The 15,950-nt window shown below is 41.7% G+C and overlaps 1 protein-coding gene and 1 long non-coding RNA gene across 27 annotated transcripts in view, besides 3 other annotated features; one reads left to right on the top strand and one right to left on the bottom strand.

Moving 5' to 3' along the window:
* COP1-DT (COP1 divergent transcript) overlaps positions 1-7,043 on the bottom strand; it is a 58,469-nt gene extending 51,426 nt beyond the window's left edge. The window contains exon 1 of the long non-coding RNA NR_185981.1: positions 6,837-7,043. This is a non-coding gene — a long non-coding RNA (COP1 divergent transcript). The remainder of the gene's footprint in view (positions 1-6,836) is intronic.
* Positions 6,815-6,884: an enhancer, noted in NCBI's record as "active region_2140". NCBI's record gives its function as "activates an Ori minimal core promoter by ATAC-STARR-seq in GM12878 lymphoblastoid cells {active_cell/tissue: GM12878}" and the evidence as "EXISTENCE:reporter gene assay evidence [ECO:0000049][PMID:35858748]".
* Positions 7,385-7,594: a silencer, noted in NCBI's record as "silent region_1570". NCBI's record gives its function as "represses an Ori minimal core promoter by ATAC-STARR-seq in GM12878 lymphoblastoid cells {active_cell/tissue: GM12878}" and the evidence as "EXISTENCE:reporter gene assay evidence [ECO:0000049][PMID:35858748]".
* Positions 7,422-15,950, top strand: part of COP1 (COP1 E3 ubiquitin ligase) — a 262,456-nt gene continuing 253,927 nt past the window's right edge. For all 26 annotated transcript variants that reach the window (XM_047427793.1, XM_047427798.1, NM_001286644.2 and 23 more), the window contains exon 1: positions 7,422-8,136. In XM_047427793.1, coding sequence (XP_047283749.1) covers positions 7,730-8,136 — 407 coding nt within the window. In that variant the 5' untranslated portion in view covers positions 7,422-7,729. The remainder of the gene's footprint in view (positions 8,137-15,950) is intronic.
* Positions 7,625-7,984: a silencer, noted in NCBI's record as "silent region_1569". NCBI's record gives its function as "represses an Ori minimal core promoter by ATAC-STARR-seq in GM12878 lymphoblastoid cells {active_cell/tissue: GM12878}" and the evidence as "EXISTENCE:reporter gene assay evidence [ECO:0000049][PMID:35858748]".

Raw genomic sequence — 15,950 nt, 5'->3', positions numbered from 1 at the left:
GTTTAAACACCAGAAATTTATTTTCCCACGTTCTCAAGTCTAGTAGTCCAAGATCAAGTTATCAGAAGATTTGGTTACTCTTGAGGTTTCTCTTAAATGTGTAGTAATTTGTTATGGCAACAATAAAAAGTAATACATTGTGGCTGGCACTGCAGAGGATGCCAATACCAAATTCAGCTTATAATTTCTTCAGAGGTATTATCAAGATCTAGTTACATCTTGGTACAAACCAAGTGTTTGAGAGTGGTATCCAGCAAAGAAAGAATGAGGAATGGTGCATGAGAATCGATTTTTACTTGTGACAGTCGTTCAACAGATTGAAGACTAAGATGTGCTCTTGAATCATCTAAAGTAACATCAAACAGAGATGACCCAGATTTGGCAAGGCAACCCTCAGTTGTTAAATATGGGGGTGGAGCGCCAAGATTTTGGCCATCAGCTTTATTGCTTTAACCTATTTTTTCCAAACTGAAGGCGAAATACCAGTTTCTACTATCTCACAACAAAGTGATAAATGCAAATGCAGTTGATGAACTGGTTTAATGGTAGATGCTCAGGCGTCTGTGTGAGGGATGACTTACAGTGATAAAAGACATACCTGCTGTACCTGAATAAAGCAAATTACGAAAATAAGAATTACCATACTGATTCAGAGAATAAGAGGAATCACTGTCAGAGCAAAGCTTGCTTTACTTCAGATCATCCTCAAAGGTTAAAAATATGCCCCCAAAACTAACTTTTCTTCAAGGTTGCTATATACATCTAATCAAAATTATTGTATCCAAATACTATCCATTCTTCATTCAGGGTTCTTTAGACAAGTTCACAATTTAGTGGCACTTTAGCATTCTATTTCTTATATAATTCAGTGGTGTAATTCTTTTGTTGCAGGCTTCTCTCCTGAGAACTTGGGCATGAGTCCAGGGGGATTGGTATGGAAGGCCATCTGAGTACTATTCATCACATTCAAGCTCATTCCTTCTCTCTGATAACCATGATTTATCCCTAAACCAAACTTGTATACATCATTTCTCTTTGCCACCAGTCGAATTTCTTATCATGAAACTTCCAAGTTGCTTAGGTAAAGAACACTCAATCTGTTTAGCATTACTGTACATAACCACACCCATAAAATACTATAGGTTGGGCATAACAAATCAGAACATCCAACATTTTTGAGCACTGACATGAAACCCAAAGGAAATGCTTATTGGAGCATTTTGGATTTCATATTTTTGGATTTGGGATGCTCAGCTGGTATGTGTAATGTAAATTTTCGAAAATCCAGAAAAATCTCAAACATTTCTGGTCCCAAGCATTTCAGATAACAGATCCTCAATGTGTAGCAGTATAGGACTGATGCTGTGAACTCAAGTTAGCTCAGAACCTCTTTGGGCCTCAGACACACTGGACCCTTTCCTCCTTTTCCACATAGTACTAATATTATATTTCATCATTTCATGATTTTGTTCTGTCTTGACTATGAACTTATATTAAGTTCATATTACATAGTATAAAAATAACTTCAGGAGTGATAGGAGTCAGTATTAGAAGCGCTATTATTTACACACTACTCAAGGCATTAGGCAGAAAAGTATCACTCACCATCTAGGAAGGAGTCTTGATGCAAATTATAATGGACAATGTACTGTTTTAAACATTTCTTGATTCCAACTATATCCACTTTTCCAGATCACTTTATATTACATTACAGACACAGGTGGTCAAATCCATGGAGCAAAAGACTTGTAACATTATCTGCTATGTTTCAATGTGAGGTGAGTTTTTTTCCCCTTCTGCCCTTTAATATCACCTCATAATGACACCAATTGATGTGTTCTTACAGAATTCATTAGACCTAATTTTGTTTTGGCTTATGATCTTTATGTGGATCTAAACCTTCCTATACCTTCATAAAATATGTATTCATTCACCATATATAAAACTATTAAATATTTTTCCAATCAATGTTGGTTTTCTTAATCTTAGGCTTTTTTTTTTTTTTTTTAGCTTTCTGTCAGCCCCACCTTAGTGGTGTGATCACAGCTCACTATAGCCTTCAATTCCTGGGCTCAAGTAATCCTCTCTTTTCAACTCCTGAGAAGCCAGGACTAAAGTCATGCATCACCACACTCAGCTAATTTTTAAGTTTTTTTTATAGAGATGGGGTCTTGCTATGTTGCCCAGGCTGATCTTGAACTCCTGGCCTCAAGCAATCCTCCCACCTCAGCCACCCAATGTGCTATTATTACAGACATGAGCCACTGTGCTGGCCCTGGCCCTCTGTTTAGCCTTTTTTTTTTTTTTTTTTTTTTTTTGAGACAGAGTCTCACTCTGTTGCCCAGGCTGGAGTGCAGTGGTGCAATCTGAGCTCACCACAACCTCTGCCTCCTGGGTTCAAGGGATTCTCCTGCCTCAGCCTCCTGAGTAGCTGGGATTACAGGTGCGCTCCACCATGCCTGGCTGATTTTTGTATTTTTAGTAGAGACAGGGTTTCACTATGTTGGTCAGGGTGGTCTCATACTCCTGACCTCGTGATCTGCCTGCCTCAGCCTCCCAAAGTGCAGGGATTACAGGTGTGAGCCACTGTGCCAGGCCTAGTTTAGCTTTTTAATACCATCTTCAGTTTATTTTACATTACTAATTTACCAGGACAACCACATTAACTTAATAACAAAACTTAACAGGAAACTATTGTTCACTCAGATATTTGGTTAGACAGCAATCTGGGCAAGCAGGTAGTAAACCCTGCAGGTGAGTCAGGAATCTGTTACAAAGGGCAGAGCTAGCTGTAGATGGAAACCAGCAGCCTTATCTTCCTAAAATACATTTGGATAAGACACCTCAGAAATAATGCCTGGAAAGTTCAATCCGCTTGGTAATTCCATTCCATCTTAACTCCATTAGACAGTATCAGTGCTTTTGCTAGAAGACTGGATTTTCTCTGGTCAATTTTTGTGGTTTATATTTAACAACATGATGGTATTCTTTTAACTATGTGGGTTTTGTTTTCATTTTACATTATTTTCATTTTTTCTTGTTTTCTTCTCCTATTTGTTACTTCTCCTAAGTTGTCTTCCTTCTTGTGTGTTGTGTGTGTTTCACCATGCTTCCTCTTTTTTTCTTCTGCTTTCCCAGAAGATCTTGCCAGTAGAAATTAATAAGGACTGTGTACTTTCAGTCATTACAATTATGTATTCAGCCAGTACATTTATCTGGTACAAAAATGAAGCTCTATTGCATCACATACTCTCAGCTTCTTTTTGTGAATTTAGATTTTATAAAAAATACATTCCAAAGAGGTAATACTAAGAACTGATGATTTTTTTTTCTTTCCCCCTAGGAGACTTCTCAGTTGGGGTCATACTACTTTCTGTCTCAGCCCATTTTCTGCTGCTATAACAGAATACAACAGACTGGGTAATTTATAAAGAAAATAAATTTATTTCTCACAGTTGTGGAGCCTGGGAAGTCCAAGAGCACGGTGCCTGCATATGGGGAGGGTCACCTCATGGTGAAAGGCCCAAGACAGCATGAGAGACAGAGAGGCAAGATGGGAGCCAAACTTATCCAGTTATTAGGAACCCACTCCTGCAATAACTAACAGTACTCCTCATGACCTAATCATGAGACCTCTTGAAGGTCTCAACTCTCAACACTGTTACAATGGCAATTACATTTCAACCTGAGTTTTGGTGGGTACATTCAAATCACAGCAGTCCTCAGCATAAGCAACTTGGAAGGAAACTCTCACTCTGTCGCCCAGGCTGGAGTGCAATGGCACGATCTCGACTCACTGCAACCTCCACCTCCTGGGTTCAAGCCATTCTCCTGTCTCAGCCTCCCAAGTAGCTGGGATTGCAGGCATGCGCCACCATGCCTGGCTAATTTTTTACATTTTTAGTAGAGATGGGGTTTTACCATGTTGGCCAGGTTGTTCTCAAACTCCTGACCTTGAGTGATCCACCCACCTCAGCCTCCCAAAGGGCTGGGATTACAGGCGTGAGCCATTGCACCTGGCCTGGAAGGAAACTCTTTCACATTCTCTACATTATCAATCACAGGACAGTGTTGTGTTTTTTGTTTTTTTTTTTTTTTGAGACGGAGTTTCACTCTGTTGCCCAGGCTGGAGTGCAGAGGTGCGATCTCAGCTCACTGCAGCCTCTGCCTCCTGGGTTTCTTGGGTTCAAGCAATTCTCCTACCTCAGCCTTCCAAGTAGCTGGGACTACAGGAGCATGCCACCACTCCCAGCTAATTTTTGTATTTTTTTAGTAGAGTCGGGGTTTCACCATGCCAGCCAGGCTGGTCTCAAACTCCTGACCTCGAGTGACCCACCTACCTCAACCTCTCAAAGTACTGGGATTACAGGCATGAGCCACCGCACCCGGCCAATCACAGTGTTTTCAAAGTGTTAGTCACTTGCCTCAGATTCACCTGGGTGCTGGTACAAATGCATATTCATAAGGTGGAGCTCAGAAATCTGGTTTTTAACAAGCTCTCTAGGTGATTCTTCTGGGCACCGATGTTTGAGAATCATGGGGGAAGCAATATGTTTAGCAAATAATAGGTCCATAATAACTATTTGATGATGATATACTATGCCCTTAGTAACTTCCAAATGTCTCTCATGTGCTGAACTTTCTTCTGTGCCTTAACCCTGTGTTTTCGACCACTGCCTATTCTTTGAGTTTTTTTCATCCCACACTCATTCAAAACATTCAAAACTAAACCATCTACTGGACACCTCCAATCTTGTCACTACGTTATTGTTACCCAGAAGTCATGTTTGGAGTCATTTCTGTTTGTGTTTCATCATTTTTACTTAATCAACATATTGACCATTGTGTCAAGCACTGATATAGACAGTGATGAATATGACAGATATGGGTCATACTCTCAAGGATGGTAAAGACAGTTTTACAGAGAGTAATTAAACTTTATACCATCAGTTCCTTAGTGTTTTTCTCAGAATATTCCCTTTCTTTGTCACCATCCTAATCTAGAATCTTATCATTTACGCTCGAACTGCTTTAATTTTTCCTAGTCTTTGTTCCTAATTTCCCACCTCTTCTGAAAGATTAATCTCCTAAAAAATTAATCTTTAAAACATTATAAATGTTTTTACCCTACTTAATGCCTAATTTCCGTGAAAGCTGTCGTAATCAAAATGGAATTATATGGGCTCGGTGGTACACACCTACAGTTCCAGCTACTTGGGAGGCTGAGGCAGCAGGATTGCTTGAGCCCAGGAATTTGGGGGCTGTACTGTGCTATAGACTTGCCTGTGAACAGTCACTGCATCCCAGCCCCATCTCTTAAACAAAAGGGGGTGGGGGGCCCCATCTCTTAAACAAAAGGGGGTGGGGGGCCCCATCTCTTAAACAAAAGGGGGTGGGGGGGCCCCATCTCTTAAACAAAAGGGGGTGGGGGGCCCCATCTCTTAAACAAAAGGGGGTGGGGGGCCCCATCTCTTAAACAAAAGGGGGTGGGAGGTAGTCACTAATATATTTTTTAAAACACTGAAAAATAGATTCAGAGGTCATGAAGAGAAGGGGTCTCATGCTTGCACACCTGATGACAAAAACTATCACAAAAACCTGCAAAAGCCACAATCTTTTTTTTTTTTTTGAGATGGAGTCTTGCTCTGTTGCCCAGGCTGGAGCACAGTGGCACGACCTTGGCTCACTCCAACCTCCGCTTTCTGGGTTCAAGCGATTCTCCTGCCTCACACTCTCGAGTAGTTGGGATTACAGGTGCATGCCACCACACCCGGTTAATTTTTGTATTTTTAGTAGGGACAGGGTTTCGTCATGTTGGCCAGGCTGGTCTCGAACTCCTGACCTCAGGTGATCCACTCGCCTTGGCCTCCCAAAGTGTTGGAATTATGGGCCTCAGCCACCGCACCTGGCCAAAAGCCACAATCTTACACAAAAAATACTTCCGCAAAAACATCTGCCCAGCAACTTCCTGTCCAGTTTCCGACTGGTGTCACCTTGTTATTGATCTTCGTAGCCAAGGATAACGGTTTAAAAACAATTATGTAATTCTCATTTTTTTTTAAATTTTAAAAACCTTTGCCTTCCTTTACCTCCTTGAATACGCACGTAGTTTACTAAGTCATGAGTATTTTCACACTTTATTCCCAAATAAATATATAAGAATCATAGAATGATAGAATTGAAAAGGATAAAATCACACAGTTGTTTCTAACTCCCACCCCTTAGAATGCGGCAAATGAAAAAAATTTTTTTTTTTGAGACAGGGTCTCTGTCTCACAGGCTGGAGTGTAGGGATCTCCGCTCCCTACAGCCTCAACCTCCCCAGCTCAAGCAATCCTCCCATGTCAGCCTCCCGAGTAGCTGGGACTACAGGCCTGCTGCCACCATGCCCAGCTAATTTTTTGTACTTTTTGTAGAGACGGGGTTTCGCTATCTTGCCCAGGCTGGTCTCTAACCTCAGGTTCAGCCTGATCCTCACCTCCAGGCTCAGGTGATCCGACCCCCTAGGCCTCCCAAGGTGCTGCGATGACAGGCATGAGCCACCGCGCCCGCCTATAATCAATTTTCAATATTCTAAAAAAGCCTACCAGAAATTGTATATTTTCTGGTGGTATTAAATGCTAGGTTTCCTTGTTTTGTGCTAGAATTATATCAGATCCACAATAAACCTAGGTTCCGACTGAGCTGGGTCTGATTGAGCAAAATCTGTTTTCCCATTATTGTTATGTTCAATTTGGCAAACAGCTTTTCAAAATATAGGAGTGAAGTCGTGGTCGAACTAATAAAATTGGTAACACTTGCTACAATGTTTGCAATTCGCAGAAAACTTCACTGACTTCATCTTAACTTATTCCTCACAAAGCTGTGGAATCACCATCAGTAGAGCAGGAGTCGTTGGCTCAATGCAGTGCTGTCTGCAACCGCTCGGAGCTTCTAGGTTCTTTCCGTGGGTCTCCAGCTTATGAGCACCTACATTCCGCGATTCGGAAGCACCTGCCTACCCCTCAGAAGAGAGAGACAGCTCCTTCTTCCCGTTCCGGAATGTGGTGCGTTCGCACGCATGCGTGACACGGCTACTCCGCGCTTGCGCCGATATTCTCCGCTTGGGGCGGATACCCTGGGTGACCCGTGAGCGTCCGCGCCCGGCGCGCGCCTGCGCAGTCGCTTTTCGAGAGTTTCCGCCCGCTACGTTCCCGTCTTTCAAACCACCCCACCACCTATACCATTCATTCCAGTCTCCTCAATTCTTTCACTGTATTAAGACGGCCTGCCCTCTGGCACGTTTTCTGGAACGAAAGCGGCTTGGGACAGACAGACTCCCTTCGCCAGGGAGCCCCGACCCCGAGGGCGCGCCCTGAGCGTCTGAGCGCAGCCCCGCTGCGTCCCCAGTTGTATCCCCCGCCACGCCCGCCTCTTCCGCCGCTCGCGCGCGCGCGCACGGCCGGCCACGGCGCGCCGGGGTTGGCTGCTACAGGGACCGCGGTGGCGGCGGCGGCCTCGACAGCGGTAGTGCCTTCTACTCCGCTTTTTTAGTTTCCTCCGCCCCCTCCCGTGGGACGCTGTTGTGTGGCTGCCTTAAAAAAAAACGCAACTTTATTGTTCCTCAGCCCCACCTCCGGCTCGGCGGGCGTCCTCAGGATGCACTGAGGCTGAGGGGAGGGGAGGCGGCGGAGGGTCGAGGTCGCGGTCCCTCTCCTCCGAGCGCCCGGCTGGAGGGGAGGGAGTCACGATGTCTGGTAGCCGCCAGGCCGGGTCGGGCTCCGCTGGGACAAGCCCCGGGTCCTCGGCGGCCTCCTCGGTGACTTCCGCCTCCTCGTCTTTATCCTCTTCCCCGTCGCCGCCTTCCGTGGCGGTTTCGGCGGCAGCGCTGGTGTCCGGCGGGGTGGCCCAGGCCGCCGGCTCGGGCGGCCTCGGGGGCCCGGTGCGGCCTGTGTTGGTGGCGCCCGCCGTATCGGGTAGCGGCGGCGGGGCGGTGTCCACGGGCCTGTCCCGGCACAGCTGCGCGGCCAGGCCCAGCGCCGGCGTAGGAGGCAGCAGCTCCAGCCTAGGCAGCGGCAGCAGGAAGCGACCTCTCCTCGCCCCCCTCTGCAACGGGCTCATCAACTCCTACGAGGACAAAAGCAACGACTTCGTATGGTGGGTTTGAAGAGCACTCCCTCCTTGTCCCTAAATTATGAGTTTCTGCCGCTTAGGCTTGGGGGCGGGGGGTCTGGTGTGGGGGTGGCTTGTTGGAGAGCTTGGGATACTGGTGCTGTGGTGGTGTCTGCAGAGGGAATCGAGCGTTTGCAGGCATTCGAGCTCCTGGTTGGTGGGGTGAAGGAATGTTGGAGTAGCGAGGCAGGGTGGGGATAATAAAGAGGTAGGTAAGTGTTGCTGAGGAGGAAGTGAAGGGAGTTTAACGAATGACGAGGGAAGAGGTGGAAGGTCAAATAAATGGTTTTGGATAACAAAGTTGGCAGAGAGGTTGAGTCTTAAAATTTTTGCCTCTCTGATGAATTGAACACTCAGTCAATCAGGAGTCCTTGTTGAGATGAATGAAATTTGCAAATGGAGAGGACTAAGCTTCCTCGGATGCAGAGGGGTGGAGTTGGTCAAAATTTATTTGAAGTATGGTAGATGATGCTGTAAACATAAGCATGGATGTCTTATAAAGACATGCTTTTTATAATAATGTAAGTACCTATCGTATGTATGTGTAAATATCTTCTTCCATTTCAAAGGATGGGCCACTTAGGAATCGGCTGTTGAGACGACTGTAGTCAAAGTCTGTTAACAGATTTTTCACTTCTCCACCAAGTGTCTTGAAAAGAGAGAACCACGTTTGTTAAATAACATCCCTGTGTCAGATGTAACTGTACTATACTGGATAACAGAGTATACTGGAACTTCTGACTTGAGAAATGCTAGGTATAGACATTTTGTCGTCATAGTTGGCATCTTGAATGATACAGAGTAACATTTAGTCATGACATTTGGGATAGAGAGGTTAGTCATATGAAGTGAAAGGTGGTGTTGATTGTCTTGCTTGAGAGTGTTTTGGAATTTTTATTGGATTTTAGATATTGGTAGGATTATGAGAAGTAATTGCTGTTAGCTAGCTGCTTAAGAAGTGGTAGTGTTTCGTACTTTCCTTTTTGAGGAAATTGTTGATCAAATATTAGGCATGTAGGAAGTTGGCTGCTTGCACAGTCATTATGAGGGAAGTTGATTCAGATCAGGGTTGAAGATGGTCTGAGTTGGTGTTATTAAATAAGATAGAGCTAGAAGTTGGAACTGTTAGGAAAGTTATTGATTAGACTTACGGTTTCTAGTTCCTGCAGAAAAATGATGTCTTTATTCACCTTTCTGCTTTTTTGTACGTTATTCTTTATCAGAATTAATCTGTTTTTCATTGAACATTTGGGCTGTAATATGATTGTTATTTATAAATAAGCAGTTTATGGTTGGGGCTGAGAAGTGTTTGCACTTCTACACAGTCGATAGTGCGAGTAGCTAATAAGCTAATAAAACAAAGTGGGGTGTGCATAATTTAGTTGTCTTTTTAGCCACTGTTTGCATTTTAATTTTTAGTATACTTAACGAACACAAACATGTTAGCCTCCGTGTAAGTACACTAAAATAAAGTAAAAGATGTGAGGAATAAGGAATCGATCATTGTCATTCAAGAGATACTTGTATGACATTCACTGTCGGCCAGGCACCATATGAAGTTCAGTGCACTGCAGGCTATGCTATAGGGAATTGGGAACTCTTTTTTTAAAAGAGTAAAAATTTGTATTTGAGACGGAGTCTTGCTCTGTCACTCAGGCTGGAGTGCAGTGGCACCGTCTTGGCTCACTGCCACCCCCGCCTCCCGGGTTCAAGCAATTCTCCAGCCTCAGCCTCCCGAGTAGTAGCTGGGATTACAGGCACCTGCCACCACACCTGCCTAATTTTTTGTATTTTTAATGGAGACGGGGTTTCACCATGTTGGCCAGGCAGGTCTTGAACTCCTGACCTCAGGTGATCTGCTCGCCTCGGCCTCCCAAGGTGCTGGGAGGGATTACAGGTGTGAGCCACCGTGGTCCTGAGTATTTCACTTTCTAAGAATCTCATTAGTTAATTATTTCTTTTTCTGGTGAGGTTTAATATTCAGAAGAATTAATTAATGAGAATCTGATTTAAAACTCAAGCCAGGTTTGATTTTGTCCAGACTCTTGGGGTAGGATGATATGGATTAGGCAAGGCCCAAGGAATCCTTTTTTTCTTTTTTTTTCCCCCCGTTTGGCTGTGGGTCTTGTCTTGTATGCCCCAAGGTCAAACTGTGAACCAATTCAAATTATTCTATGCTTTTATATTTAAACGAAGCCCAAGTTCAAATAATGATAATTTCTTATTCATTTATGGGACATTTTAAAGATATGCTTATGCTTCACGTTTTATTTTATCCTTAGAACAATTCTGTGATGTTATATATAACTTATTTTTAATACAATACTAATTATTTTCTCATTGAGGCACAGAGAAGTAATTTTGTTTGTCGTTGGACAGGTAAGGACAAAATGAGAACTCAGATTTCCCAGTTCTCAACTTTGTGTTTTCTTTGTGTGCAATTAGAGAGTTTCAGATCTGTAAGTTCGAGTACATGTATTTAGCCCAGTGGTTCTTAAACGGCACAGATTGGAGGAGAAGCAGCTGTTTCATAATCATATGAGATAAATGTTTTATCCCTCACCACTCCCTTTTCTTACCTGCCCACATCCCAAGAAGACGTACCTGAATTGGAGGCTGGGGTGGGTGGTGTAATTTGCATATGCTCCCCTGGTGATAGGGACCTGTCCTTCTCCCCTCCTTGAGAACTGTTGATTTAAATAGTCACGTACCTAATTTCAGTAATAAACATTGGCCTCTCCTGACTTATATTTGAAAGTAAGTTTATATTTAATTGAAGAATTCATAAACATTTTAGGGGTTTAGGTTGCATTTTTATATTTTATTTTACACAAAAGATTGAAGGTATTATCAAGTTGAATAATTTTAACAGTGTTTTATTGATGGAGAATCTAATACAGGACAGTAGTATTTAGCTTGACATTGGATACATTTTCAACATTCAGAGGAAGTCTTTGTTATTTTGTTTTTTGCAAAATTTTCTTACGGTTCATTTAACTAGACTGTGAGTCTGGTCTGTATTTGAAAGATGACTTCTGTTTTTTATACGGACTCCTTTTTTAAACAATTCTATAACTACTGCCTTTGTATTAGCTTTTCCAGCTATCTCAAATGAAGTTTTCTACCTCTGCAAGTCCCAGCCATTCTTGCAGCAGAAGTATACGTTTGCATGTAGATAGTAAGCTCTTTATGAGAAGGTTGACTTTTTTTCTTTTTTTTTGAGACGGAGTCTCGCTCTGCTGCCCAGGCTGGAGTGCAGTGGTGCGATCTCGGCTCACTGCAAGCTCCGCCTCCCGGGTTCACGCCATTCTCCTGCCTCAGCCTCCCGAGTAGCTGGGACTACAGGCGCCGGCCACCCCGCCCGGCTAATTTTTTGTATTTTTAGTAGAGGCGGGGTTTCACTGTGTTAGCCAGGATGGTCTCGATCTCCTGACCTCATGATCCGCCCGCCTCTGCCTCCCAAAGTGCTGGGATTACAGGCGTGAGCCACCGCGCCCGGCCGAGAAGGTTGACTTTTAATCATCTGCTTGATAGAAAATAGTTAGGATCTACATTAAATAGATCTACCATTCAGTAAATATGTGACTGCCTATTTTGTGTTAAACTAAGATTCTCTCTTCTTAAGGAGCTCATGATTTAATTCGAAGAATGGCTTTTAACTGTGTAATTATAATATCATAACCTGGTATCATTGCCTCTCTTAGTGTCATGACAGATGTTAGTACCATTCCTTTTTCTTAGTGCCATGGCAGATGTTAAATACTCTAATGGACTATGCATAGTACAATATATAGCCATTACCTATTAATTACATTTTAGCACTAAAAATGAAGCCTGTTGACCATTCTTGTTAATATAACTGGTTTCCAATTTTTTTTTTCCTTTTTTTGAGACAGGGCTCTCCCTATGTTGCCCAGGCTAGTCTCAAACTCCTGGGCTCAAGCAATCTTCATGTCTTAGCCTCTCAAGCAGCGGGGATTAGAGACGGGTGCCACCACCTGTAATCCCAGGATATTTTTAATAGTCTGAAAAACACGTGGCTCTGTTTTTCAGACTATTAAAAAGTGAGGGTGGGCACCTTGGTTCACGCCTGTAATCCCAGCCCTTTGGTAGGCCAGGGCAGGAGGATTACTTGAACCCAGGAGTTTGAGACCATCCTGGGCAACATGACGAAACCCCATCTCTACAAAAAATACAAAAATTAGCCTGTGTGGTGGCTTGTGCCTGTAGTCCCAGCTACTCAAGAAGCTGAGATGGGAGGATCACTTGAGCCTGTGAGGTCGAGGCTGCAGGGAGCTATGATCACACCACTGCACTCCAGCCTGGACGACAAAGTGAGACCCTGTCTCCAAAAAAAAAAAAAAAAAAAAAGTGAACTAGAACGTATCATAGAATCTGTCGTAATAAAGACAGTAACAGTTTGTGCAGCAATGTATGTGGAATGTATTTCTCACTGGGTACACTGGTAAAATTTTTTTTAAAGTCACTGAATTATAGGACTGAATTTCCTCTGATAGGAAAGTGGAAAGTTTAAGTGACTTTTCTTTTTAGACCATTGTGAGCTTATAAATATAGGACTAAATATAATTTAAAGAGCTGTTAAAAGCATGTTCAGTTACTGGAATAAACCAGCATTTATTATATTATTATAGTAATATCTGTCAAGAACTTATTTGAATCTGCAAAAGTCAAACTTGATGCTTCTTTTGCTTTATAATACATGTGCCATTTGGATGTCAATGATGAAACATACTCTGCAGGAGATGATGTCATATTTTATCAGACCTATTGGTACTGTCAGACCTGTGGACTATCAGATGGTGGGGCATCAGCATCAATGGTAGCAGGAGACTTCTATGGGTGAATTAAATGGTAGAGAAAATAGATGATCATGAAACAGGATAGGAAGACTATTAACTTGGAATTGTAGTCTATAAATTGAGAAGAAGGTACTTGTGCAATAGTAGTTCATTACTAAAGAATGTGTTGATAAGCAGTTATCTTTTCCTTTTACAAATCTTTATACCTTTTCTGATAATGAGCCAACATTACATAGGTGGATATGTTCCATCTAAGAACTGTTACTGATTAAAGTAACTGTAGCCTTAAACCTTGTTGCTTACTTTTCCTTCTTGTATGTGTATGTTTTTTCTTAATGGTGATTTTTTCATATTTTATATAATTATTTTAACCTGCTACCCTTTTCCTCAGAAAACTTCCACAGCTTGGGAGGAAAGGCTTTTTTGACGGTGGAATTAGCCCATCGTCTTTTTCCTGTTAAAATTTGTATTACAGGGTGAGTATCCTCTATCTGAAGTGCTTGAGACCAGAAGTGTTTTGGATTTTAGGGGTTTTTTTGGTTTTTGTTTTCGAATTTTAGAATATTTAAATTATATTTACCAGGTTAGTATCCTTAATCTGAAAAATCTGAAATCCAAAATGCTCCAGTGAGCATTTCCTCTGATAGTCATGTTGGCACTGAAAAAATTTTTGATTTTGCATGATTTTGGATTTCAGATTTTCAGATTAGGGATATTCAACCTGTATACCAAATAAAATGTTTTTTAAGTTGGGCATGATGGTGCATGCTTGTAGTCTCAGCTCCAGGAGTTTGAGTCCATCCTGGGCAATGTAGTGAAACTCTGCTAAATTGTTTTTAAAGTTCTTGATCTGTTTTTATATGTGATGTTGTATGTAGGACAAAATTCTGTAAGCATTCAGGTTTTTGTGCAGACTTGTCTTTGCCCTCCACCTTACTTGTTCTTTGTCCTCTTTCTTTATGTGTGTATGAGCCAAGTTCTATTCAGATAGGTTGGTACTTTCTCAAACAATATATTCACTGAGAGTAACATGTTTTTCTTTATACTTAAAATATGTTAGTTGTCCTTTCATTTTTCACAATTAAGTTTTATGAACTGATTTTGCCTCTGTTTCTATATAAAGTGAAACATAGAATGCAGTAGGTGATCTGATTTCTGTTTATTGTATTTCTGGTGTAACCATTGGGAATCCATCCTTCTTTCCTAATCTGTGTGGTTTGGGGTGGTACATTTTTTCCCCAAATTCAGAATTGGAACACATGATCCATGCTCAAGTGTCTAGTGCATTGGAATCCTCTGTCTTTAGTATTAATTCACAGATGGGCATTTGGCTCTAAATAGAGATAATGAGACAAAGTAGGCTTTGTAAAAATTACGACTGTTTTGGGGGTTCTTTTAGATATTTGAAACTCAAACGTTCATAAATGCCAAGTCCACTCAAGTGAAGATGGAATGTGTTGTACTGACAATTAGTTTGGGACAAATACTCATAATAATAAGTGCTCAAATATAAATTGCTATTTGCCAGGCACTATTTTAAAGGTTTTACGTTACTTGTTTAATCTTCACAACAACTGTTTGCTGTAGATACTCTTATAGTTCCCATTTTGTAGATGAGGAAATGTGGCCCATAGAGGTTATATAACTTGTCTCAGTTACACGGTTAATAATGGTGGTACCAGTATTTATATTCAGACAATTTGGCTCAGAGGTCAGGTTCTTAACCACTATTACAAATGGTTACCCAAGTTAACCACCCATTTCCTTGCCTTTATTTAGAGGCTGATTTTGTTTAAAATTAGCTTTACTAAGTTATAATTTGCATAAAATAAGTCACTGGTCATAAGTGTGTAGTTGAATGAGTTTTGACACATGAATACACCTGTGCAGTCACCACCCTAATGAAGATATGATACATTTCCAGAAAGTTCACTTTTGCCAGCACTTCATACTCTGTGTCTACCTTCACACCTAACACCTGGCAACCAGTGATCTGCTTTGCATTGCTGTCATTTTGCCTTTTCTGGAATTTCATATTAATGGAGTCCTTTAGTCGGTAGTCTTTTGTGTCTGGTTTCTTTCGTTTGGTATAATGTTTTGAAATACACTGATGATGTTGAGTGTACTGTTTTTTTTCTTTTAATTGCTTAGTATTATCCCATTATATGGATATAACATGAACTGCTTATATATTTGCTAGTTAAAAGATTTTTGACTTGTTTCTAGTTTTTGGCTATTATTTAGAAAATTCTGTAAGCATTCAGGTTTTTGTGCAGACACGTCTTCACATTTTTAGGGTAAAAATATCTAGTAGTGAATTGCTGAGTTCTCTGCCAAGTGTATGTTTAGTTTTAAAATAAACTGCAAAACTTTTTAAAAACTGCCTCTACCATTTTGCATTTCTTTTTTATCTTTTTTTGAGATGGGAGTCTCATACTGTCGCCCCAGCTGGAGTGCAGTGGCACGATCTCAGCTTGGTGCAACCTCTGCCTCCTGGGTTCAAGCAATTCTCCTGCCTTAACCTCCCGAGTAGCTAGGATTACAGGCGCCCGCCACCATGCCAAGCTAATTTTTTGTATTTTTAGTAGAGATGGGGTTTCACTGTGTTGGCCGGGTTGGTCTCGATCCCTGGACCTCATGGTCCCCACGCCTCGGCCTCCCAAAGTGCTGGGATTACAGGTGTGAGCCACCACACCCGGCCACCATTTTGCATTTCTACCAGCAACAATTAAAAGTTCTTTTATTTGGTTTGTATTTATTTCTTGTATTGTTTTATTTGTTTTTAATTGTTTCACATCCTTGCCAGTGCTCAGTGTTTTCAGTCTTTTAAATATTAGTCATTTTTGTGGATATGTAGTTTTATCACATTGTTATGTAACATATTTTTATGTGCTTATTTTTCATTTGCATATCTTTTGTGAAATGTCTGTTTTGATCTTTGGCCCATTTTTTCCCTTAAAATTGCATGTCATCTTGCGT

The sequence above is a fragment of the Homo sapiens genome, chromosome 1 (genome assembly GCF_000001405.40).
Source record: "Homo sapiens chromosome 1, GRCh38.p14 Primary Assembly".
Lineage (NCBI taxonomy): Eukaryota > Metazoa > Chordata > Mammalia > Primates > Hominidae > Homo > Homo sapiens.
The sequence above is the reverse complement of the archived record's forward strand: the minus strand, read 5'-3'. Positions and strand labels throughout refer to the sequence as shown.